General features: G+C 41.3%; 1 protein-coding gene across 38 annotated transcripts in view, besides 1 other annotated feature; it reads left to right on the forward strand.

Moving 5' to 3' along the window:
* The window catches only part of LTBP1 (latent transforming growth factor beta binding protein 1), a 452,557-nt gene that overhangs the window by 55,302 nt on the left and 373,347 nt on the right, over nucleotides 1-23,908 (forward strand). For all 38 annotated transcript variants that reach the window (XM_011532853.3, XM_011532857.3, XM_011532861.3 and 35 more), the window contains exon 3: nucleotides 18,655-18,952. In XM_011532853.3, coding sequence (XP_011531155.1) covers nucleotides 18,655-18,952 — 298 coding nt within the window. The remainder of the gene's footprint in view (nucleotides 1-18,654; nucleotides 18,953-23,908) is intronic.
* Nucleotides 13,188-13,482: an enhancer, noted in NCBI's record as "tiled region #2981; HepG2 Activating DNase matched - State 8:EnhW". NCBI's record gives its function as "activates a minimal TATA promoter and a strong SV40 promoter by Sharpr-MPRA in HepG2 cells {active_cell/tissue: HepG2}" and the evidence as "EXISTENCE:reporter gene assay evidence [ECO:0000049][PMID:27701403]".

Here is a 23,908-nt window from a genome sequence, read left to right on the forward strand (position 1 = left end):
TATTAACTACCCTTGAACAAATGCAAGGGGTGAGTTAATAAGGTGGTTACATTTGTGCAGGTGGTGGAGTGAGCATCTGTGAGACGGTGGAAAGAAAATGTTTGTGTTATGTTGGGTGGGTAAGGACAGGTAAAACCACCTTCTCCTTTTCTGTGTGTGAGGCTGGCTGGCTGCTTTAGGATAAATACTTCCAGGTGAGTGTGAGCACAGATGCTGCTAGGCATTGTCTGGGAGTACCCTGGAAGGTCAGGCCCAGCGTCTCTTCTCCACAGTGCTCTTGTGGGTGGATTTTCCAGCTCTCTTTATCCTGCTGCTGAAGGAAGTAGCAGACAATCAAAAACATAAAAAGAGGTCCTGGGCATGATGCCCTGAAAAAACATTTCTAGCACTGGGCTGAGCACTTTGGTTTTTTTGTTTTGTTTTGTTTTCTTTTTTTTTTAAAAAAAGGGGTCTCACCCTGTCGCCCAGGCTGGAGTGCAGTGGTGTGATCTTGGCTCACTGCAACCTCTGGCTCCCTGGTTCAAACGATTCTCATGCCTCAGTCTCCCAAGTAGCTGGGACTACAGGTTCATGCCACTATGCCTGGCTAATTTTTGTATTTTTAGTACATGTGGGGTTTCACTGTGTTGGCCAGGCTGATCTTGAACTCCTGACCTCAGGTGATCTGCCTGCCTCAGCCTCCCAAAATGCTGGGATTACAGGCGTAAGCGACCGTGCCTGGCCTAGGCTGACCACTTTGGAAACATCGCATTCGATTTGGTCCTTCCCTTACAATACGTAGAATAATAAAAGCTAGCAATGTTGGCAGGCTTCCTGAGTTCCAGACTTTGTACTGGTTGCCTGACGTTGAGGTGGGTTCTGTTAAAATGGGGTCGTATCATAGAAACATCGAATGTGCTTGAATGACGACATGTGCTTGGCAGAGGCAAAGAGATTGTGTTTAAACAAAACGACCTGCTCAAATGTAGAAAGACATTTTGAGAGCCAGTATGTTGGTCCTACTGAGTAGATTTGCAAGAGTAATTTTGACTGTAAGTGATTTTCATCTTAGGAACTAACTTCACTCCCTGCTTTGCTCCCCCTCCAAATGAGGCTTCTTTCAACCATCCCCAATTTATAGATGTTGCAGTTGAGGCTTAAGAGGGTTAAATAACTTGCTAAAGGTCATGCAGCCAGTTAGTGATGGAAGTCAGATTTAAACCTGTAAACCTATGCATTCCAACTCTGAAGGTTACGCTTGTCACCAGTGCTGGGGCATGCTGTGGTGTATGCAGAGCTGTGCAACCAGGTGACGGCAGAACTTGAAGCGCTGTCCACATGAGGAGTAACTGCAGGAATGGGTATATTGAGTCAGAAGAAAAGAAGTCACAGGCAGGGTGGTAGAGCTTCCTTCCAACCTTGTGGAAAGGGGAGGCAATGAGTGTAGCTCTGGGCATCCATTTTAACTTGGTAAGAGGCATGAAAGTTGTAAGAATCAGAATGTCACTTGTGTCAAAACCCTGACAAATAGAGCTGGGAGAGGCCACGAAAAGAAGGTTCTCACACATATATGCCTGATAACAAGAACTGTCACAAAAACCTCTGCAAAAACCACAACCTTGCACAAAGCCTGTGGCAGTCTTACACACAAAAACATATTTCTGCAAGGACATCTGCCCAGCAACTGCCTGTCCAACGTTGGGTTGATGCCACCATTGTTACTGATACCTGTACCCAAGGATAATTGTCTCAAAACAACTTATATAGCCATCCTTATTTTTCCTTGAAAAGCCCTTGTTTTCCTTTATCTCCCTGAATACACTCACATGGATTCCCATTGCAATGCCCATTCCTTAATAAATATCATTTTTTTTTTTTTAAAGAGAGTCTGCCTCGCTGATTGTTACTTAGGTTTGATAAGGTAAAGTCTTTTAAAGATGGAGCTGTTCCAACTTCACTGGGCTGTTTGCAGGTAGAGATCCTTGTTGGAGCTACTTAACTTGTGCAGAGAGATTGTAGATGAGTTTTAATCCTAGGGTAAGGTCCTGCCCATCCTGACAGTCAGTGACTTAAGCTTTGGCCACACTTTGGCCAGTTTGTATTTGTCCTCACAGAGTTCTGTGGGCTTTATGATAAGCTGTTTGATGGAATCCCCTTATATGGGCATGGCGATTTTTTTTTAAACAGCTTTATTGAGATATAATCCACATACCATACAATTCCCTTAACGTATATAAGTCAATTTTTTTGTATATTATTTTAAAAATTATGGTAAAATTGGTCGGGTGCGGTGGCTCACACCTATAATCTCAGCACTTTGGGAGGCTCAGGTGGGCAGATCTCTTGAGGTCAGGAGATGGTGAAATCCTGTCTCTACTAAAAATACAAAAAATTAGCCAGGCTTGTTGGTGCGTGACTGTAATCCCAGCTACTCAGGAGGCTGAGGCAGGAGAATCACTTGAATCTGGGAGGTGGAGGTTGCAGTGAGCCAAGATTGTGCCACTGCACTTCAGCCTGGGTGACAGAGTGAGCCTCAGTCTCAAAAAAAAAGGAATATATATATATATATATATATATATATAAACATAAAATTTGTAAAATAGTATTTATTGTGGCTAGTATTATCAAAGATGAGTATTTTTCTGCACCTGGTAACTTGGCCAGGAAATCATTGGAAAGCTGGCTTTGCATTTGTATTTGATAGTATTTAGTGCTTGAAAATGCATGGATATGGAGGCCTATGCTGGGTCTTCTCCCTGCATCACAGGATTCATGAAGTTATTAATCATATCTGTGCTGATTTTTATTTTGACGACTTGTTCATACAGCCACAGCTGTGAGAGTTAATGCAGCAGGCTCAGCATGGTGGAATTAGCAGAAGCCCTGGAATGAAGTGAAGTGACTCTTTGGGAAGATTCAGTTATTCCTGCAAGATGACAAAATACCTAAAACCAACACAACCATTTATTTGCTTATGGTTTTGCAATTTAAATTGGACAGGGCTCAGTAGGGACAACTTGTCTCTGCTCCATGTATCAGCGTGGACGGCTTGACTGAGAGCAGAGGATTTACCTCCAAGGTGGCACACTCATATCACTGGCAAGGTGGCACTGGCTGCTAGTTGGGAGCTTAGCTGGGGTTGTTGGCTGGGGACCTCAGTTTTCTTCCAGGTGCACCTTTCCACATGGTTGCTTGGGCTTCTCCATTACATGATGGCTAGGTCCCAAGAAGGAAGAAGTGTTGCTGCCTGACCTTCCTGATGCCTGGGCTCTCAGGTCTTAGTATGGCACTTCTGCATGTCACTTTCAGAACAGTGACAAGTCCAGCTCAGATTCAAGAGAGAGGGAACATAAGCTCTACCTTTTTTTTTTTTTTTTTTTTGAGACAGTGTGTTTCTGGCTGGAGTGCTGTGGCACAATCTTGGCTCACTGCAACCTCCGCTTCCCAGGCTCAAGCAATTCTCGTCCCTCAGCCTCCCAGGTAGCTGGGCTTACAGGCGCCCGCCAACATGCCTGGCTAATTTTTGTATTTTTAGTAGAGATGGAGTTTCACCATGTTGGGTAGGCTGCTCTCGAACTCCCGACCTCAGGTGATCTGCCTGCCTTGACCTCCCAGACTGTTAGGATTACAGGCGTGAGCCACTGTGCCCGGCCGGCTCTGCCTTTTGATGGGAGTAGCAGCATAAAGTGGTAGGGAGGGGTAGAATCATTTGAGGTCATCTTTAGAGACTAGCTACCACGAAGAACCACAATGGTCTTTTTTCTCTTTCTTCCTCATTCTCACTCCACAGAAGCCTGTCCCTAATCATTGTGTGAGCCAGTGATGACAAATACTGGCAAGAAATCTAAGAAAAAATTTAAAAATCAGTACTAGGAATACATAGTATTTAAGAGATCGTGGCTTGGTCTCAAACTCCCTACCTCAAGTGACCTGCTCATCTTAGCCTCCCAGAGTGCTGAGATTACAGGCGTGAGCCACTGCACCTGGCCTGCTCTTAATGATTATTTAAATTTATATTTGTTTAGTGATTACACATTATTTGCTTACTTCTGACATACTCTGAGTCTCACTCAGATCAGAGATTATAGGAGGGGGAATATATTTACTAGAATAATTTCTCCATTCAGAATGTCAGAAATAAGAAAGCCTTTTTTTTTTTTTTTTTTTTGAGACAGAGTCTTGCTCTATCACCCAGGCTGGAGTGCAGTGGCGCAATCTTGGCTCACTGCACCCTCCGCCTCCCGGTTCAAGTGATTCTCCTGCTTCAGCCTCCCAAGTAGCTGGGAGTACAGGCACCTAGCCACCACACCCGGCTAATTTTTGTATTTTATTAGAGACGGGATTTCACCATGTTGGCCAGGCTGGTCTCAAACTCCTGACTTCAAGTGATCTGCCCATCTTGATCTCCCAAAGTGCTGGGATTACAGGTGTGAACCACCATGCCTGACCCGAGAAAACCTACTGAACATTTTTAAATTTTATATGTTACTGCTTGGAAAACAGAGCTTTGCTTGTTCCTTTCAGCTATTCCCTGATGAGCCCTTAAAGTCCACAATTCTGTTTCAGCTTAATTTCTGAAAATAGTTATACCACATTTTCACAGTAAGAGAGCTAGTAGCCAGATGCATCGTGTGTTTTGTTTGCAAATGCATCATCTGCTGTCTAGCTTCCTTCCATGGAGAGGAATGGCCTTATATTTCACAGTGAGGCTTCAACTGCTGCTCCCTTTTGGCATGTCAAAGTCTAATTACTGTGGTCTCTGTAGCAGGGGCTGTATCCACAGCCTGCGAATGTTTGTGTTCTACGATGATACTTGGGCATCAGTGACATTTGAAAGGGGTGGTTTTTTGAGACGGAGTCTCACTCTGTCGCCCAGGCTGGAGGGCAGTGGCACGATCTTGGCTTACTGCAACCTCTGCCTTCTGGGTTCAAGTGATTCTCTTGCCTCAGCCTCCCAAGTAGGTCTCGAACTCGTGACCTCAAGTGATCCGCCCGCCTCGGCTTCTCAAAGTGCTGGGATTACAGGCGTGAGCCATCATGCCCGGCCTTGAAAGGGTTTTTATTTTAGCATCAAAAATCTATGGCATGGCTTGGATTGCATTTCTTCTAGGCTGTTCCATCCTTAGTCACATAATGCTACTAATTCACCTGAAGGAATGCTGTCAAAATAAATCAAATGGTAATTTTAAAAGACTCTGTCTCATTCATTGTAGCTTTTACTCAGTTAAGAACAGTTTGGAAATATGAGCCTTGAGCATGAGAACACTCACGTAGCATTTTATTTTAGCTTAATGCTGCTGGCTGTCATTTTGCCGCTATCACTGTTTTACGCTGAATGGTTAAATGTGAGAAAGAAAGAACAAAATGGTAGCATATTGTGCTTGACTCATTGAGAAAGGCTGTTTTAGGTTAATGTAGAATTCCAATAGTAGAAAGAAAATTCTATCCCATATACAAATGTGACTTGCCTCTCAAGAGCTTCTTTGAAGGTTATTTTGGAGCGTGTGGGGGATGAATTTGGTGCATAGGATAATAATAATTGACATCTGTCTGGTGCTACTCTGAACCAGGAACTGTCCCTAAGTGCTTTGCATGTATTAATTAATCTACATATAAGCGCTCTTTGTATTATTTCCATTTACAGATAGAAAAATTGAGATGTAAAAAGATAATAGAAACAAGGCCACACAGCTAGTCAGTGTTGAGCTGGGGCTTGGTTTTGACTGTCTGGCTTCAGTGGACTCTGGCTTTAGCCACTATATGACACTCGCTAATCAAAGTAAGTTATGTTTTCTTAGTCTTTTTTTTCCCTTTATTTGAAACCAAGTTTCAGATGTTGATTTGCAAGTTGGCAGTCATTTCTGTTTTATAAAGCTTATTTTTTATTGCCCCAGTTTTCAAAAAAGCTTTTCTTGTTTAACATTTTTGCCTGATGAAAATAAAAGTCAACTTTTCAAACAGATTATACATGTTGATAATAGTGCTAGTCATATGAACCACTAATAGTATGTTAAGAATAAGTTTCAAAGTAAAAATAATGTAAGTTCCAACATAGTACATTTATCATATAGTCGAGTGAATAGTACTCTGTCTCACATATTGTTTAGATTGTAGAAATTACAGCCCTTAAAAATTTAAGTATGTTTAAAGTAGCCCTTAAGTGAATTAACATTTCTTTTTTAAAAAAATATTATTGATTTTTGCCAAACAATAAAAGTAATAACAGACTTTTAGAAAATCTGGAAAGTATAATATGGTATAAACAAAAAATTAACACTGTGTGTAATTTCACCACTTATAGGTAGATGATTCATTCATGTTAGCATTTAAGTCTATTTGCCTTCCAGCCCTCATTCATGCATTTACTCCTTCCACGATTACTAACTGATTATCTTCTAGGCGCAGGGCAAAAGCAGCAACTAAAATAGTCTTTCTCCCTGTGGAGCTTATACTTTACTGGAAGAAGTGGACAATGACCAGATAAATATGCAATATGATGTCAGGTAGGGAAAAGTGCTTTAAAGAAAAACAAGGCAGGGTAGGAGGATAGAGGCACAAGGGCTGCTGTTTTGGGAAGGGCAGCCCCAGAGAAGGCTGAGTGGTTTTAGGAAGGGAGCCTGTGACTGTCTGGTGAAGGACATGACAGGTGGGGACACAGCCAGTGCAAGGCCCTGTGATGGAAGCAGGCTTGGTGTGTCTGGGGACCAGCAAGCAAGCCAGGGTGACCGGAGTGTGGCACTCAAGGGAGTGCAAGGAAATGACATGGGAGAGATGGCAGAGGTTTGCAGGCTGTAAAAATAAGGGCTTTGCATTTCACTGAGTGAGGTGGAAGCCTTTGGAGGGTTTGAGGCAGAGGAGTAATGTCATCTGGGTTTGGTTCTAACAGATTCCTTCTGGTTGCTCTGGTGAGAATAGACTGCAGGGGATAAGGTGGCTGGGAGAAGGGTTTGCGGGGAGGTGGTGAGAAAAATGGTCAGATTCAGGATGTCTTTAAAGTAGAGCTAACAGGATTTGGAGCTGGATTGGATGTGTGTTATGATGAAAACAGAAGAGTCACATATAGTGATAACTTGGTGTTGTGGTCTGAAATATTGCCCTTCCCTGATTCACGTGAAGTCCTAACCCCCAGTACCTCAGAATGTGAGCTTCTTTGGACATAGGGTCCTTGCAGATGTAATTATTTAAGATGAGGCCATTCCAGAGAGTGTGTATGTGTGACGTAATCCAGTGGACTGATGTCTTTATGAAAAGGGGATATTTCAGCATAAGCATATAATAAGAGGGAAGATGTGAAGATATAGCAATAAGGACATCTGTTAAGCCAAAGAACGCTTGAGGCTACCAGAATCTAGGAGAGAAGGATGAATAGATTATCTTTCAGTCCTCAGGAGGAACCAGTCTTACTGACATCTTGATTTCAGATTTCCAGCCTCCAGAACTGAGTGGTAGTAAATTTCTCATTTTGTGATACTTCGTTATGGCAGTCCTAGTAAACTAATACACTTGGTGAGCAACCTTGTGAATGGCCGTCCCTTTTAAGGCAGTGAATGCCAGGAAGGAGCAGGTCTTAGAGTTTGGGGTGGATGGAGGGGACAGAAGACATGCTAAGTTTGAGAAGCCTGTTAGATACCCACATGGAGGCATCGATGAGACCGTTGGATGTGGAAATCTGGAGTTCCAATAAGAGGACAAGGCCAGACATCTAAGTTCGGGCACTGAATTAGATCTTCAGGAGAAGGGTCCAAGGATCAAGGAGGCCCTGGGAAATTTTGACATTTGGAGGGTGGGGAGAGAAGGAGGAGACAGGAGACAGAGCAGAGGATGGCAGTGAAGTGGGAGAAGGCTGGCAGGGCGTGGTGGCTCAGCAGCCATGGGGGGACATGGGGAGGAGGAGGGACCAGGCCTCTGTGGCCAGCATGGCTGATGGTCAGGAATGGAGAGGACCAAGAACTCCCACTGGATTTAGCAGCCTGGAGGCCACTGATGACTTGGACAAGAACAGATTCCGTGGAAAAGCGGAAAAGTGGATGCACAAGGCTGATTGAAGGGAGTTCAAGAGGAAGTGGCATTACATCATAAGCATTATCCAGTGTCATTAAAAATCTTTTTCAATCAGAGGCTGGCTAGGAAGAGTGCATGGGTGTGTGGGGGGGATGAAGAGAAATTGGTTAATGAGCACAAACATACAGTTAGATAGAAGAAAGAAATTCTGAGTTTGATAGCAGAGTAGGTGGCTAAAGTTAACAACAATGTGTTGTATATTTCAAAATAGCTAGGAGAGAGGACTTGAAATGTTCCCAACACATAGAAATGATAAATATTCGGGGTGATGGATGCCCTAAATATGCTGACTTGATCATCACACATTCTCTGCAGGTAACAAGATATCACATGGACCCCATAAACATGTACAAATATTATGTATCAATTAAAAAAAGTTTTTGAACATTGTTTTTGATGACTGTATCACATTCTAGGATTTTAATCCTTTTTTTTTTTTTTTTTGAGATGGAGTCTTGCTCTGTCACCAAGCTGGAGTGCAGTGGCTTGATCTTGTCTCACTGCAACCTCTGCCTCCTGGGTTCAAGTGATTCTTCTGCCTCAGCCTCCCGAGTAGCTGGGACTACAAGTGCGTGCCACCACACCCAGCTAATTTTTGTATTTTTAGTAGAGACGGGGTTTCACCATGTTGGCCAGGATGGTCTCGATCTCTTGACCCCGTGATCTGCCTGCCTCGACCTCCCAAGGTGCTGGAATTACAGGGGTGAGCCACCAGGCCCGGCCTAATCCATTCTTTACTTGTTTTATGGGTAGGATGGTTCTAACTTTTACCACTATATTGGTTGTGATACTGCAGTGGACATATTTGCATACAAAATTCCCTAGATTAGGAATGACAAGACACAACAGGATGATTATTTTTAGGGCTTAATCCTAAAATATGGCCAGTCATTTACAGAAAGTCTGTACCAGTGTACACTCCTCTTGGCATGTAGGAGTGGGCTTGTCTCACTGCACAGCTCCCCTCCATGTATTTTTGAATTGACTAGAACATCCAGAAAAGCATTGTTACAGAGGTGATGGTAGGGCTTATGGGCTGAATTTTGTTTCCCCAAAATTCTTCTATAGAAGTCCTAATCCCCAGTATCTCAGAATGTGAGTGTATTTGGAATTAGAATCTTTAAAGAGGTAATTAAGTTAAAGTGAGGTCATTAGTGTGGGCCTTAATCCAGTGTGACTGATGTTCTTATAAGAAGAGGCAATTTGGACACAGAGACAGACACAGAGGGAAGACCGAGTGAAGTCACAGGGAGAAGACGGCCATCTACAAGCCAGAATGAGGCCAACTCTGCTGATGCATTGACCTTGGACTTTTAGCTCCCAGAATTGTGAAAGAATAAATCTCTGTTATTTAAGCCCCTGACTCTGTGGTACTTTGTTATGGCAGCCTGGCAAGCTAGTACAGTGGGCATTAGTGTTTTGTTCCTGATTTACAGGATGATGTCTCTGGTGATTATACTAAATCATACTGGACCTGCATACTAGACACATATATTTAAGAATATATTATAATTTATCCTCCCAAACCTGATCGCTTATGAAACATAAATCCTGAATCAGTGGGGTCTATTCCCATTTTGCTGCTCTGTGGCAGATTTTAACACTGACATTTGGCCTGGTCCGTGTGTTATTTATTTCTCTCCGATTTCAGGTCTCCTGGTTAAATTCATGGTCTCAGGGAGGTCTTTCCTAACTCCCTGACCCCCACTGTGATCACCCCCCATCAGACACTCCTCTTCTCTTTCCGAAAGACTGGTAATAGTTATAATTACTTTCCCTGTGGGGTCTCCCTGGCTGGGTTGTGAATGCCAAGGGGCAGAGATGATGTAAAAACATCATCTCTGTTTCCAGTTCTAGCCACAGGGCGTATGACAGTGCCTGGTGCAAAATTGAGCATAGAATTGTCACTCAGTATTTTGTTGAATGAATAAGGCATGAGTCAAACTTGGCCACTTGCCCAAGGGCACAGAGCTGGGATGGGGTGGGGGGGGCTTCACACTCAAATCTCTGTGACCCCAGAGCATAGCTCCCTCTTGTACGTGTCTGCTCATCAGTAGATGAGCTTGGGCAAGGAGGTGTGTAGTCACATTTTTTGATTTTCTCTCAGGCTCGGTAGTAGCTCCTCAAGGAAACAAACCATTTCTAAGAATTCTTTGTATCCTTTATGGTCCCTTGAATATAATAACTCACAAATATTTGCCAATTGTCCAATTAAGGCCGCCATGTTCCTCTTTCTACACCTTTGTTATTATGACACGTAGCTGTATGGTGATTCTTTTTCTGTACTTGTGTCTTTCCTATTGGACTCTGATCTACTTGAGAGCAAGAAATTTGTCTCCATCTTTTGTCTGCAGTTCTTGGCACAATGCAGGCATTTAAGAGGGGGCTCAATTGGATGAATAAAGATAACATGGATGGGATTAAAACAAATTTAAAGATTATTTAGAAAGGTATTGTCTTCCTTTGAATGAACTCTAAAGATAACAGTTATAACAATATATGTGCATAATAGTTTACAGTCTGTAAAACCCAAGATTTTTCAAAATATGTACTCATCATACATATATACTAGCATGAATGCACAAAGTAAAATTATACTATTAGAGAAGGTGCTTAAGGAGTGAATGGCAGTGAATAATGAAATAACGTGTTTTAATTCACTTTATCAATGCTTTAAAAGCTGGTAGTATCACTTTATAGTTCTAATTTTGAATGGCTGTTAATACCATATTCTACTCAACCTTTATGGTTCTTTTAAATTTTTTCTTGGCACAAATAGCGCTGCTGTGGACACCTACATATATGTATGCCCAGTTATTTCCTTTTTTTGATTATTAGAATAAATTTCTAAAAATGAGGCTACTGAAATATTTGAAACATATTGTTAAACTGCTTTCTAAAAAGGCTTGTACCATATTCCTTACCTCCTTTGCAGCACTTAGTACTAATATTTATATTTTCTAAAAAATTAGCCGTGATGTATCTCCTTGTTTTAGTGTTCATCTCTTTTGATGACTTTGTTAATTTGGACATTACCCTATAAGTTTCTTTACTAATTTCATTTCCCTCTGTCTAAATTATCTATTTCTGTTCTTTTTTTCATTTTTTGATTTTGGTCTTCCTTTGTTAAAGGCAACTTTTATTAATTTTTTTTATATAATAGCATTTTCAGAAAAATTTTTTTTCTGGGTTATTTTTTTCCCTTTTGCTATTTTAATTAATGTTAAATGCTTATATACACTAAACTGTAGATAGATATTTTAACTTTTTCTTTTTTTTCATTGAATGCCTGTGATTAAAAAAAGTTATACATGGCAGTGATAAGATCAGAAACAATCCAGGAAAACTGCTGGTTGTTTTGTATTACAGGACTTGTGATTTAATTACGTTATATTCTGTGAGTGCTTTTACAACTATTGACGGTATTGGGAAGAGTGTGTTTGGGCCCAGCTGACCACCTATTTTAAATTACATCACATGGTTAACAACCACTCCTGCTGAGCTTAGGTTTAGAAAACTTCAAGCTTCCAGAACACAGCTCTTGGGGAGCTGGGAATTCTGGGGCTGTGTACTTGACATAAAGGCATTAAACTCCTGAATGAAACATGAGATTCTGTACCCAGCCTTTGTGACTTGTAGTCCCTTTAATTTTTGCTATGCTCAACTATCTGGTTGGTGAAGTTGTTACTCGTAAGATTAGAAAGGCAAATAGGGTAGGAAAATAGGGTGGAAAGAATGCTTGTGTGACTTGACGATCTGACTCAGAGGGAAGAGAGAGAACAATGAAAGCAAACACCCATCCCTCACAGGTTTCAAATAGATTTTCATAAGGATGAAAGACCTGTAAAGATTTATTAAATATATTGGTGATTGATGGGCATGGTCCACGTATTTAGAAAATTTCATTATGTGGAATTCTTCATTATTCCAGGAGACTGGATAGAAAAGGCATTGGGATGTTATGCTAATTTTTTTTTCTCTTTAGGGATTTTGGAGGAGGCTAACCCAGAGACATTTACAACGAAACAACAGCATTTATTTGGATTTGGTACAAGGAGCAAGCAGACAGAGTAGACTAAAATGTGTGACCTCATGCTATATTTCTTGTGATCTGATATCACTTAGTGTTATTGAATGACTTCAAAGGGCAGCTGGGAATTACTGTGAAGACACACACAGCAAAGCAATTTCTCACCTGCTGTCTCTGATCACAGAAGACACAGTTAGACTCACATTTCTCCCCAGGACACATGCGGTAGACATGCTGCAACTTGTTTGGAGAGAAAGGCAAGGGGCAGAGAGTCACACTGTTTGCACTGTGTGGACTGAGACAAGTTTTAAATATAACTAAGGGTTACTTTTTTAGAATTAAAAACAGTAGAAGCTGAGCTTCAGGGCATGGGTTACTTCCTAAAAATACAATCACTGAACTTTTAAAGAACTCTAGGATCAGCTTGTCAAACTGGAGTAGATACGAATGTGAAAGACATCTGAGACTCTTTAGTACTTGGCGCACAGATTGAGAATTAACTCAATTTTGACTGTTTCAAATGATGAAAGTATTTTCAGAAGACCAACCTGGTAGCCAGGATGGTGTAGGGTTTTGTTGCTTAACCTGCTCACCTAGATCTTGATGTCAGTGGGCTTTCTGCAAGCCCACTATCTGAGTTTATCGCTGTCTTGGTGGCAGTTTTGGCCACTTTTTTTTTTTTTTAAGAGATGGGGTCTTGCTATGTTGCACAGGCTGGACTCAATCTCCTAAGTGCCTACAATAACCTCCTAAATGTTATGCCCCTTGTGATGTTCTCTTCTCTTTGACCTTGACCAGTTTGCTTCACTGTCGCTACTCTTCAGAGTTCCTCTACAACACATTGGATCTGGTTTCTGAACCTGTTTCTATCTGTAACTATAACATAAGGTTAAATGTCACTGCAGACTTTGTGTCTTTGCAGAGTTTACTTGAATTTAATTTTGATGGAAAAACATCTGCTTTGAAGGATTGGAGACTGCTTGATTGAATAAATCGCAAATCAAGTCTGCAAGTGTAGATGTTACCATGTAATGAATTAAGAGACCATTGGCCATCTTTCCTTTATAGACGTCCTTAAATCCCCCAGCATCATTTGGAAAGTAGTGGCTCTATGTTTATATCAGTCAGTCAACCAAGTTTAGGCTCCTATCCCAGGCTACAGAAAGTTCTGCATAAGTCACTTAACTGACCTCACAGCTTATAACCTAGTTGGCAAATAGGAGAGAACTGTAAGAAGTTGACTAGCATGTGGAATGTGAATGATGACAGTGGACAAGAGCCAGATGGTACAAAGGTCGTGATAGGGCTGGGTGGGTGGGTCTGTTAGTCACTTCTCACACTGCTATAAAGAAATGCCTGAGACTGGGCGATTTATAAAGAAAAGAGGTTTAACTGGCTCATGGTTCTGCAGGCTGTACAGGAAGCATAGCAGCTTGTGCTTCTGGGGAGGCCTCGGGAAACTTCCAATCATGGCATGAGGCAAATGGGGAGCAAGGCACAAAACATGACCAGAGGAGGAGGAAGAGAGAGAGTGGGGAGGTGCCACACACTTTTGAACAACCAGATCTCAGAATCACCCACTCACTCACTATTGCAAGAACGGCATGGATGGGATGGTGCTAACCCATTAATGAGAACTCTGCCCCATAGTCCAGTCACCTCCCACCAGGCCCCACCTCCAACTCTGGGGATTATAATTCAACAGGAGATTTGGTAGGACTCATACCAAACCCTGTCAGTGGACATTTGGGAGAGACTTCATACAGAAGGGTGGGAGAAGGGTGGGCTTGAAGGCATTGGAGGTTTTAATTGTTCTCATTGGATTGAGGGGCCTGTGCTCCTGCATAGGGCTCCCTCTGTGCAGAGACAAGGAGGTGGGAATCCCAGAGGTTGGGTGAGCTTCTGCAGGGGTAGACCAGTGAGAAGTGAGGGTGGAAAAGGGGGTTTGGGTTAGATGTAGATGGCCTTAACATTTACCCTTGGTCAGCTAAAATGTGTGGAAAGTTTTTGAATGAAAGGGAAAAAAATGATTCAAAGAGTAGCGTTTTAGAAGACTAGTCTGTCCGCAAGCCTGGATTAGGTTTTTGTTCCTAACCCACTACTTTTCAGACTTGGCTGTATATTTCAGTCACCTGGGGAGTTAAAAAAGTACTGAAGCCTGGAGCCCTCCCCCGCTAGAGATTCTGATTTAATCTGTTTGGAGTTAGGCCTGGGTTTGGGGAGTTTTAAAAGTTCCCCAGGTGATTCTAATGTACAGCCAAGCCTGAGAACCACCGCCCAATCCACTGATAAGATCTTGATATAGCCTCCACTCAGCCTCCACTCATCGAGCTGAACCACAGCACAGTGCTGGCCAGGAAAAAGCAATCAACTGATGGGAAAAAAAATAAAATTAAATTAAAAAGTACTTCTGGCTGGCTGGGGGCAGTGGCTCATGCCTGCAATCCTAGCACTTTGGGAGGCTGAAGTGGGTGGATCACCTGAGGTCAGGAGTTCAAGGCCAGCCTGGCCAACATGGCGAAACCCTATCTCTACTAAAAATACAAAAATTAGCTGGGCATGCATGCCTGTAATCCCAGCTACTTGGGAGGCTGAGGCAGGAGAATTGCTTGAATCTGAGGGACAGAAGTTGCAGTGAGTCAAGATCGTGCCACTGCACTCCAGCCTGGGTGACAGAGTAAGACTATGTCTCAAAAAATAAATAAATAAAAATAAAAGGTACTTCTGTGACAATATTTATAATATTCCACATAGTCCAACACCTTAGTTATAATAAGTTTTCACGTAAATGCTATGAATTTTTGCATTGGCCATGAAGTAGATGGGGACAAATGTGTAGACTTTTGGCAATGTATAGATATGGAAAATGACATCTAAAATTGCAATAAAAATGGCAAGATAAAACACTTTTATCATAGCCAAGAATTCAGTAGCCTAAAAGCAATTACAGCATGAAAGCTTGCAAGTATAAAAATATAAGTCCTCAGAAACTTGCTGCTGGAAGACCTGTTTCCAGATGTTGTGTGTCAGTGATTCTCAAACCTGAGTGTGCATCGACGTCGCTTGGAGGGCAGTCACTGATTGCTGGGCTCCAGTTTCAGATTTAGCAGGCTTGGGGTAGCCCAAGGATATGTAGTTTCAAAGTTTTCCCGGATGATACTGCCGGCCTGGGCACCATACTGTGAGAACCACTGATGCTTGCTGCCATGTAAGAACTGCTACTGCATGGGCCCAAATATTGTAGGAAAAGGGGCTTGATAAATGTGATAGAAGGACATGAGTTGTTTTGTTTTGTTTTGTTTTGTTTTTTGAGATGGAGTCTTGCTCTGTCGCCCAGGCTGGAGTGCAGTGGCGCTATCTCGGCTCACTGCAAGCTCCGCCTCCTGGGTTCACGCCATTCTTCTGCCTCAGCCTCCCGAGTAGCTGGGACTAAAGGCACCCACCAGTACGCCTGGCTAATTTTTTGTATTTTTAGTAGAGACGGGGTTTCACCGTGTTAACCAGGATGGTCTCAATCTCCTGACCTTGTGATCCGCCCACCTCGGCCTCCCAAAGTACAAGTTTTGCTTTTTATGTCAGATGACGGGCTTCTCTTGGGAGTTAGGGAATCTGTCCTCCTCCAGTTCAATCCAGCCCCTCCTCATCTCCGTGCTCTAGGGGGCACCTGTCTGAGTCTAGGTAGGGTAGGTAGAAGAGAAAATTGTCTTTTCATTCTCCTAATTGTCCTTTTAAAATGTACTACAAAGGGAGGTATTATATACATAGCTGTAATATTATATAACACGTTCTTTACTTTTCTTCCAGTAGAAAATATTTGTAAGTTCAAAGTTTTTTTTTTTTAACTTTTATGACTGTCTCCCCACCCCCCTTACCCTACCACATGAAAAATTTGAAGAGTTAAAAAAAAATGCTAACCATCCATGTCTTCCTTAAAACAGGTTCTTGCGGCTCATTCTTGGTGGTACATTGGAGGATGTCAGTCCTTGGCCTCCCCCTAGGTGCCAGCTTTTGCACCAAACAGCCTTCCTGGTAGAAAACACATTTGCAGTGTACCTTGGGCGGGAGGAGAAGCGGAAATCATTCTCAGATGTTAAAAAGAAACATGTTTCTAATTGAAAGCATGATGAGAAGGCACACATGAAAGGGCCTGGGTGGTGAGCTCAGGCCAAGGCACAGCTTTGAAAGCCCAGCTCAGTCCTTGCTGTGGCCACTTCTGTTCTCTTGGGTGGATCCCATTCCCATTCCTGTGACATTCCAGAAATAACCATGGCTGAGCAGGGACCCAGGACAGCATCTCAGATATAGCAACAAAGTTTGCTCAGTTGGTCAGGAAACTCTGATAGTTAGAATTCTGAATTCTAGAAACACAGAGCTTTTGAACTAGAATTCTAGAAGCAGAGTGTGGGAACAGCCTTTATTCTCATATTGTGGAGACCATTTTAGAACAAATCGCTGCTGCCCTCCTCATAACCCCCAAACACACACAAGTGCAGAGGCCAGGGTTAAGTGGCTTACTCCAAGGTCACCTAGGGAGCTGGCTCCATTTTTTTTTTTCTTTTAGAGAATCCTTCCCAACTTTCTGAAAATTTGTCAGCTTGGTATTCTGACACCCAAGGGCCATTTTAGAAAAATCATTACTTGCTGTAACGAATAGGCATCATATTGTAGGAAGATGGGAAAATTATTTTGTCTCTTTTATAGAAAATCAATAGGTTTTGAGGCTTTTAGGTCTTGGTCTTTTGGATCTTCATAACTGAGTCTCCTGTTGTTCGTTTTGCTTGTCTATTTTGTAATTGCTTTGTGGACTGAAGCTTGTTTTGAACTTTATGGGAGACTTGATAGTGTGATCTGCCTCAGGACCAACAGTTTATGTAAAAGGTGAGCTGACAGCAACAGGGCAGCATAGTAAATGTATTTGAACAAATAAAGAAGGGACTGAAGGAATCATGGCCATAAGCTTATGACATTACATAATAAAACTTAAGTCAGTAGCATGTACACTTCTTTTTTTTTTTTTTTTTTTTTTTTTTGAGACCAAGTTTCCCTCTGTCATCCAGGCTGCAATGTGTGGCACCATCTCGGCTCACTGTAACCTCTGTCCTCTGGGTTCAAGTGATTCTCCTACCTCAGCCTTCCGAGAACTGGGATTACAGGCCCCTGCCACCACACTCGGCTAGTTTTTGTATTTTTAGTAGAGATGAGGTTTCACTATTTTGACCAGGCTGGTCTCGAACTCCTGACCTCAAGTGATCCACCGGGCTCCGTCTCCCAAAGTGCTAGGATTACAGGCGTGAGCCACTGTGCCCAGCCAGTAGCATCTAAACTTCTAAGGGACCTTGCCTATCATAAAACCTACTTACTCTACCAATGACCCACAGCCCTGATAACTTCTCTTTTTAAATTTTTAATTTTGAGATTGGGTTACATTCTGTTGCTTAGGCTGGAGTGTAGTGCTGTGATCACGGTCACTGCAGCCTCGACCTCCTGAGCTCAAGAGCCTCCTGAGTAGCTGGGACTACAGGTGCGTGCCACCATGCCCAGCTAATTAAATTTTTTTTTTTTTTTTTTTGGTAGAGACAGGGTCTTACTACGTTGCTGAGGCTAATCTCAAACTCCTGGGCTCAAGCGATCCTCCCACCATGACCTCCTAAAGTGATGGGCTTACAGGCGTGAGCCACTGTGCCTGGACTGATAACTTTAAAACTCTGTTTGGTCAGGAGTGTGGTGATTCAGAGTACATACATCCTTGCAAATAGGAGATGAAGAAGTTGTTTCTTTTTGGTTGCCTTTCATTATTAAATTCGGAATGGTGCCTAGCACACTGGATTTTTATACAAACTAGCAGGTGTGTTTTGGGCGACTCTCAACCTTTCTGCCCTTGGTTTTCTCGTTTTCTCGTATGTCAAAGAGTAGATTGGACTAAATTTCTGACACAGTCTCTCGAAGATCTGATAGCCTATACAACATGAGGTCTATAGGAGAGCACTTTTTGGGGTTGGGGATTGGACTGAACTTTTGTTTTTTGCCAAGTCTTGGCAAAAAATTTAGGCTTAAAAAATTTTAAATTAAATTTTAAGTTAAGCGTATATTTAAATTTAAGCCACAGAACATAACTTTAAAATAATGGCAGAGCATTTTCTTACGATTTTTCCTGGATTTTCTGATGCATTTCTGGGAGGCAGATGCAGTAAAATGGTTAAGAATGATAGCTTTGGAGCTGGCTCACTTGGTTTCAAATCCGAGCTCTTCTACTGAGTAATAATTATATAATGTTTAACAAATCACTTAATCTCTGTTTCTGTTTTTTCATCTGTAAAGTGGGCACAATAAAATATCTACAAAACACGTTGCTGGGGGATTACATTTGTTTATATATTTTAGAACAGTGCCTGTCACATAGGAAGCCATTAATATTAGCTCTCTTCCCCCTCCTCCGCCCAACTGCCCCACCTTCCTCCTTATGAGTATTTGTGTGGTTTTTTATTGGAGAACAAACAACCTGATGCTACTGTTAACCCTTTGGAAAAATTAGGAAGTCTACAATGTTGTTCTTCAAAGCTGTGCCTTCTGTTTTCTTTCTGCAGCTAGCTGTGTTCCGCCATGTCAGAATGGAGGGATGTGTCTCCGGCCACAACTCTGTGTGTGTAAACCAGGGACCAAGGGCAAAGCCTGTGAAACAATAGCTGCCCAGGACACCTCGTCACCAGTCTTTGGAGGGCAGAGTCCTGGGGCTGCTTCCTCGTGGGGCCCTCCTGAGCAAGCAGCAAAGCATACTTCATCTAAGAAGGCAGACACTCTACCAAGAGTCAGCCCTGTGGCCCAGATGACCTTAACCCTCAAGCCGAAGCCTTCAGTGGGACTCCCCCAGCAGATACATTCTCAGTGAGTGTTTCGAACTTTCATTTAGCTAAGGATCATCTTAATTACTCTCTTGGATGCCTTGCTTTAAATCACTGTCCCTTTCCTGCACAATTTGCAGAAATCACTTGGATAATAATGTTTTTCTTTCCTTTCTTAAGGCTTTACACGTTAGGCTTTACACATGGAATCTCTTAAAAATATTTGGTGTGTGTATTTAGCCTCTGCAGGAAATTTTACCATAAGTACAACCCATGGCAACCATGAGGATTATAGGGATCAAGACTGGAAGGGAATGATAAAAATAGTTATTTTTGATAAAGTTGTTAGTTTAAAAATTCTGTTTTTGAGGGGGGAGCTGCTTTATAGAGTTTTGAAATAATAATTTAAAAAAAGAAACAGTGTTATTTTTAAAGTTATCTGGAAAAGGTAAGAACTCAGCTTGCACAGAGAAACTACTCAAATGAAAGGGAGTCCTTGCAAAGAGAGAATTTCTCAACCTCAGTAGCAGGTTAAGTGTACCTTCTGTTAACACCATGTTTATCTCCCAGTTGCCGTGTGGGTCCATTTTTGGTGAATGAGCTTGTTTTCTATTTATGGGAACAAGGTTTTTTTTTTCTTAGTGTTAGGAAGTAAGTGCTATTCTGAACAAAATGAGAACTCAGAGAAGAAAGATTACCCCGTTCTCTGAGTTGCATTACAAGCAGCCACTCAGCTGCACCGGGTCCTTAAACAAATTGTCTCCTCTTAATGAGCTATTCTGTATGGATAATAAGATGCAGAATGTACTGCAACTATCACTTGTCATTTGTCTAGGAAGGTAAAATACAGGAAGTTCCCAACTTAAAAATGGGCTTGACGTAGCAGTTCATTTGTAAGTCACTTGCTTGGAATTTAGAATGCTTCTTCCCTCTGCAGAGACAGCTTCCATATGGTGATTAGTATCCAGTCAGCCCACAGAAGTTATTCAGTCTGTTGCTATAGATGAAATTATCCTTATTTTTACTTCCCCTTCGAATAGACCACCTACTGTTTCTTCTGAGTGTGGTCTTTTTCTTTTCTCCTATTCCCTCCTCAATCCTCTTTTTTTTTTTTTTTTCTGTTTTTCTTCATTATTCTCTAATTTCTTCTTGTCTCATAATACTTCAGTTCTATTGTGGTAGCTAGATTTAGGGACTAGTTTGAAATGCTACTTTGCTGTTGGAAAACACATTCTGCAGCCCTCAACAAGAAGCAAAGGTAAGATAGGTATAGCTAATACTTAGTAAGGGCTTACTATGTGCCAGGTACTCTTTTAAACACTTATTGTGTATTGTTCACTTACAGCTCACAAGGATCCTGTAAGGAAGGTAACATTATTAAACCCATTTTACAGATGAGAAGACTGAGGTACAGAGTGGTTAAATAGTTTGTTCAAGGTCCCACAGTTACTAAGTGACAGTATTACAATTTAAACAGAGGCAGTCACGTTTCAGCATCCATGCCCTGAAGGAAGGAGTTGGCAAAAATTTTCTGTAAAGGGACAGATAGTAAATATTTTTAGCTTTGTGGGACATACGGTTTCTGTTGCATCTACTCAGTTCTGCCATGGTAGCACAAAAGCAGCCATAGACAGTGTATGAATTAATGAGTGTGACTGTGTTCTAATAAAACTTTATGGACATTGAAATTTGAATTTCATATAAATTTCACAGGTCATGAAGTATTATTCTTTTTTAAATTTTTTTCTCAACCATTAAAAAACATAAAAGTTATCCTTAACTTCTGGGCCATAGGAAAGCAGGCTGTGGGCTGGATTTGGCCCATGAACTGTAGTTTGCTAACTTTTTCTCTAAAGGATAGTAGTGCTTTTTTTGTGTGTGCCAGAACATGAATATAACTGTGTGTCCTTGGAACGGTATAAAGCTTTGATTATATCATAGCTAGACATCTCCCTTCCAACATTGTTTTGGATATTAAAAACAAAAAACAATTCTGTGTTGAACTATGCTTTGGCGATCAAGAGTCAGATTACTGTGAATTGCAATTAGTTTTTTCTAGCATTATGACTTACATAAACTGTAAAGTAATTTACAAGCAACATTATTCATCTTCAATATCACCATCCACTGTTAGAATTTGACCCTCTATGATGTATATATATGGATTGTTAGTAAGAACCGTATGTCGGATGTCAGATAAAGGAACAGTCTATTTTTTTTCCTTCCTTTTGGTAGCCGCGGTGTACTTTAGACAAGAATGTTGTGAGTCAAAGAGGAGGCTAAGGTTTCAGCTCTGACTCAGCTTTGGTAAAATAAAGTCATTAGGCAGTTTGCTTTGGAGACTTCATCTGCTGAATGAAGATGCTTTTTTATGGTAGCATTGTTATAGGCATGTATATATGGGTGTGCCTACTGGTGCACTTTTAAGTAAAGAGAAGAGATGAGAAGAGATGGCCTTGGGTGCCATCAATCCTGATATTAATAAACTATATAGTTTGCCCCATTATCTAGTCCCTGCAGAGAAGATTAAGATGTACAAGATCCAGTCCTGCTCTTAAGGAGATTTTGAAATGACAAATGAGCTATACAAAGGAAACTATACAAAGCTATAGAATTAGCCCTTTGATTAATTTAGGTTATGACATAATCACAGTGAGTCATGTTTAATCAAATGGCCAAGGAATCACATGTGATAGGCCCACTTTGGCTACTTTTGAGAAATGTTACAATCCTTAAGTTATCTTTCAGATTGCCTATTTTAGGATATTTCAGGTTTTGTGTTTAACCAGTAAAGGAGGAGATTGATTAAGCCTCCTTAAAGTATTCAACTATATACATAAATATGTCTAACATGCCAAAATGTTTAGTGTTACGTTCATTGTGTGTCACATGAAGTGCTATCATCTTGATCACTTATTCAACAAGTTTTTATGGAGCATATTTTATGTATGAGGGCACAGTTCAGGGAGCTAAGGATAGATAACACTAGGCAACTACATAAAATGTCTGCTTTCTTGGAACTTACAGTTTAGAGAGGGAGAGACAGTTGATAAATGACATAATTAAAATACACATTAGATATTCATAAGTGCTGTGGAGAAAATAAAACTGCATTAGCAGATAGGACATGCTGGGTTGGTGTGTGGTGGGGAAGAGTGAGGGGTGTGGCAGTTTTAAATAGGCTGCCAGGGAAGACCCTACTGAGAGGCATTTAAGCAAAGGCCTGCGATAAGTGCATGAACCCTGCAGATATGTAGGGGTGAGGCAGAGGCTTTGAGGCAGGAGTGTGCCTGAGATGTTTGAGGAACAGCTAGTTTGGTAAAATTGTAGTGTTAAAAGCACATATTTTAGGCAGGTGGGGATTAGATGAATTGGTTTTACCTTTGGCTGAATTGGTTTTAGGCAACTTGATTTAGAACCAAATACAAATAAAGTTCCTTAGGAAATCAAAGGAAAGAGCAGTTGTTTCCAGATTTTGGAGTGTTAGTGCAGTGGAGTCCAGGGATGGCTCCTTAGAGAAGGTGTCTGTGAAAAGATGGTTGGATTCAGATACATACAACTGGAGGAGAAGGGTGTATCCAGGGGAGGCAATGATGTGAGGCTAGGTAGCCTGGCATATTAGTTTTCTTTGGCTGTGTAACAAATCACCCCAAAACTTAGCAACCTAAAATAACATGCATTTATTGACTGACAGTCTGTGTCAGGAATCCAGGGGCTGCAGCCAAGCAGTCAGCAGGGGTGGCAGTCATCTGAAGGCTCGACTGGGGCTGGGGAATCCACTGCCAAGATGGCTCACTTTCATGGCTGTTGGCAGGAGGCCTTAGCCCTGGCACTGGCTGTTGGCAGAAAGCTTCACTTCCTCTCTATGTGGACCTCTCTGTAGAGCAGCCTGAGTGTCCTCACAATGTGGCCATAAGCTTCTCCCAGAGTGAGTGATCCTAGATTAGGGAGAGCGAGGAGAAGGCCACAGTGCCTTTATGGTCTTGGTCTTAAGGATGCCACACCCTCACGCTTACCTTATTGTACTGATTAGTAGTGAGTTGCTAAGTCTAGTCCTCACTCAGAGGGGGTAGAAGTATGCTGCACTGCTTAAATGGAGAAATATCAAAGAATTCGTGGACATATTTAAAAATAACCATATTTAGGATATGATTTAATTAGAACTTGATAAATATGAAGATTAACGGTAATATAAGGTAATATAAAGCTCTAAAGGTTGCTTGAAAACCAAGCTACTGACTAAGATTTCAACAAAACAATTCCAAAAAGACACAAAATAGAGAAAAAAGTAATGGAAGGACGCCTCGTAGCTTAAACAAGGCTTAAGAAACACATTAACCAATCACAGTATTTTGATTATGTTTCTATCCTGTTTCAAACAAACTGCTAATAAAAGAAAAAGATAACAATGACGATTTATAGAACAATCATGAACATGCTAACATTGGTAATTTGATGATATAAATGAATGATTGTTGATTTTGGGAGCTGTGATGATGGCATTGTAGTTATGTTCATAAGGAGGAGAATCATGTTAAAGTATTTACAGATGAAATGATATGATATATGAGATTTTATTCAGAATAATCCAGTGGGTTGAGGTATAGAGGTAATAAGATTGGCTTGAGGTGGTAATTATTGAAGCTTGATGATGGGTACATAGGGGTTTCTTACAAAATTCTTTTTATATTTTTGAAATTTTCTGTAATAAAGAGTAATAAAAAGATGAAGTTTCTTATAGTCCTGAGTGTGGTCCTGAGTCTTCAAAAACCTAATGCTATGATATCTCCAAGGATGGAAGAACTTCTGGGATATTCCTTGAAGTATGCCACCTCCTAATTGACAATAGTAACAATAAAACGTAAGCTCATTCTCTTTATTTGTAGTAAAGGAAAAAAAATCCCATTATAAAGCTATGCCAATAGTTAAACACTTTGGGGAAAGAGTTCAAGCTTGTTGCAGTACTGATAGTTATTACTGGGACCTTGTCTGAACTTAT

Source organism: Homo sapiens, chromosome 2 (genome assembly GCF_000001405.40).
Source record: "Homo sapiens chromosome 2, GRCh38.p14 Primary Assembly".
In the NCBI taxonomy this organism is placed as follows: Eukaryota; Metazoa; Chordata; class Mammalia; order Primates; family Hominidae; genus Homo; species Homo sapiens.